Here is a 1,456-nt window from a genome sequence, read left to right as displayed (position 1 = left end):
AACCCCCGATTTCATGCAGATGATTCCTTCCCGACTCGGAAGTTAATGTGGGTCCCCGGGAAGATTTGTGAACACAGAGCTTTTACATCTAGGTCCAAGGCTCTGGCTTCCCTTCATCAGAGCGGCGCATCCCGCCCAGCTGGCTCCAAGACCATCTACCCTGATCTCAACCTGGGACAGGTCCGAGGCTCCAGCTTCCCTGTATCAGAGCAGTGCGTCCCGCCCAGCTGGCTCCCAGGTCTACCCTGATCTCAACGTGGGACAGGTCCGCGGCTCCGGCTTCCCTGTATCAGAGTGCTGCTGCCTGCACAGCTGGCTCCCAGGTCTACCCTGATCTCAACGTGGGACAGGTCCGCGGCTCCGGCTTCCCTGTATCAGAGTGCTGCTGCCTGCACAGCTGTCTCCCAGGTCTACCCTGATCTCAACGTGGGATAAAGGCTGAAACAGAAACAGCCAAATGTCCAGATGGTTTTACATTTTTGGGACTATTCCGGTTTCCAGACCTGAATAATCAGCCACATGACCTGGTTTTCACAAAAGCCTCCATCCTGGGGGTCAGGAGCTGCCTCTTGGAGCCTGGTGGTCCCTCCAGGGCCAAGTCCATCGTTGGGGTCTTCCCAGGAGTGGGGGTGGCTCTGGGGCCTTTCTTGGTCCTGTCCCTGCTCTGTCAGGGCTGGGACGCCATCCCCGTCTGGCCAGCCATCCCTGGGCCGTGGTCACAAGAAGGACGGGGATCCAGCCCCCACCGCACCCCTCGGGGTCCTGCTTAGGCAAGAGGGCGGGTCCAGTGAGGAGGAAGCAGGCGGCCCCACAATCCTGTCTCCGTACCACCAAGGAGGGATCAAGCACGCGTTCCCTCCCGACCACACCCTCGCCTGCCTCCGGCTCACCCACGGGGCCTCACTGTCCTGACATTCATGAAGCCTTCCCTGCCTTACCCACAGCCCTGGAGCATCTTCGAGGGTCAGCCCAGGTGCCGTCCCTGGGGCGTCTGGCCTGGAGGGCCATGAGCAGGCCCATGGTGCAGCCAGCCCCTCCCTGGGGACCAGAGCCGGCAGCGGCTTGGGAGCTGTCCCTGGTGCTGCCTGGAGTAGACCTGGTACCTGAGGTCCTGCCCACCCACTGGCCCAGCCTTTGTCCAGCTCAAGCCCCCGCCCTTCCGTGGGACCCGCTCCGTCTGATCACACCTGCCGCCTGGTGCTGCCCGGCCCTGCCTGGGTCGGCTGCGCTGCCCTCCGTGGCTGGCCCAGCTGCCTCAGCCTGGTTCCTGCCAAGGCTTCTGGCAACCGGGCCAAAGCAATTTTACCAAATTAGATGTGGTCGGAAGCAAGTCGTTCCACCTGGCAATTTTGTTAAAATAATTATTTGTTTGAAAATTAATATTCCTGAGTCGCTGGTTTTTCTAGGATTAGCAGTTTTGGCACACCGCGGGGCAGTGTGTCTCACGCTGCGGGGC

The 1,456-nt window shown here is 60.7% G+C and overlaps 1 annotated feature.

The window, feature by feature from the left end:
• Nucleotides 973–1,173: a silencer, noted in NCBI's record as "peak1134 fragment used in MPRA reporter construct". NCBI's record gives its function as "represses an SCP1 promoter by STARR-seq MPRAs in K562 erythroleukemia cells {active_cell/tissue: K562}" and the evidence as "EXISTENCE:reporter gene assay evidence [ECO:0000049][PMID:32103011]".

Source organism: Homo sapiens, chromosome 10 (genome assembly GCF_000001405.40).
Source record: "Homo sapiens chromosome 10, GRCh38.p14 Primary Assembly".
In the NCBI taxonomy this organism is placed as follows: Eukaryota; Metazoa; Chordata; class Mammalia; order Primates; family Hominidae; genus Homo; species Homo sapiens.
The sequence above is the reverse complement of the archived record's forward strand: the minus strand, read 5'-3'. Positions and strand labels throughout refer to the sequence as shown.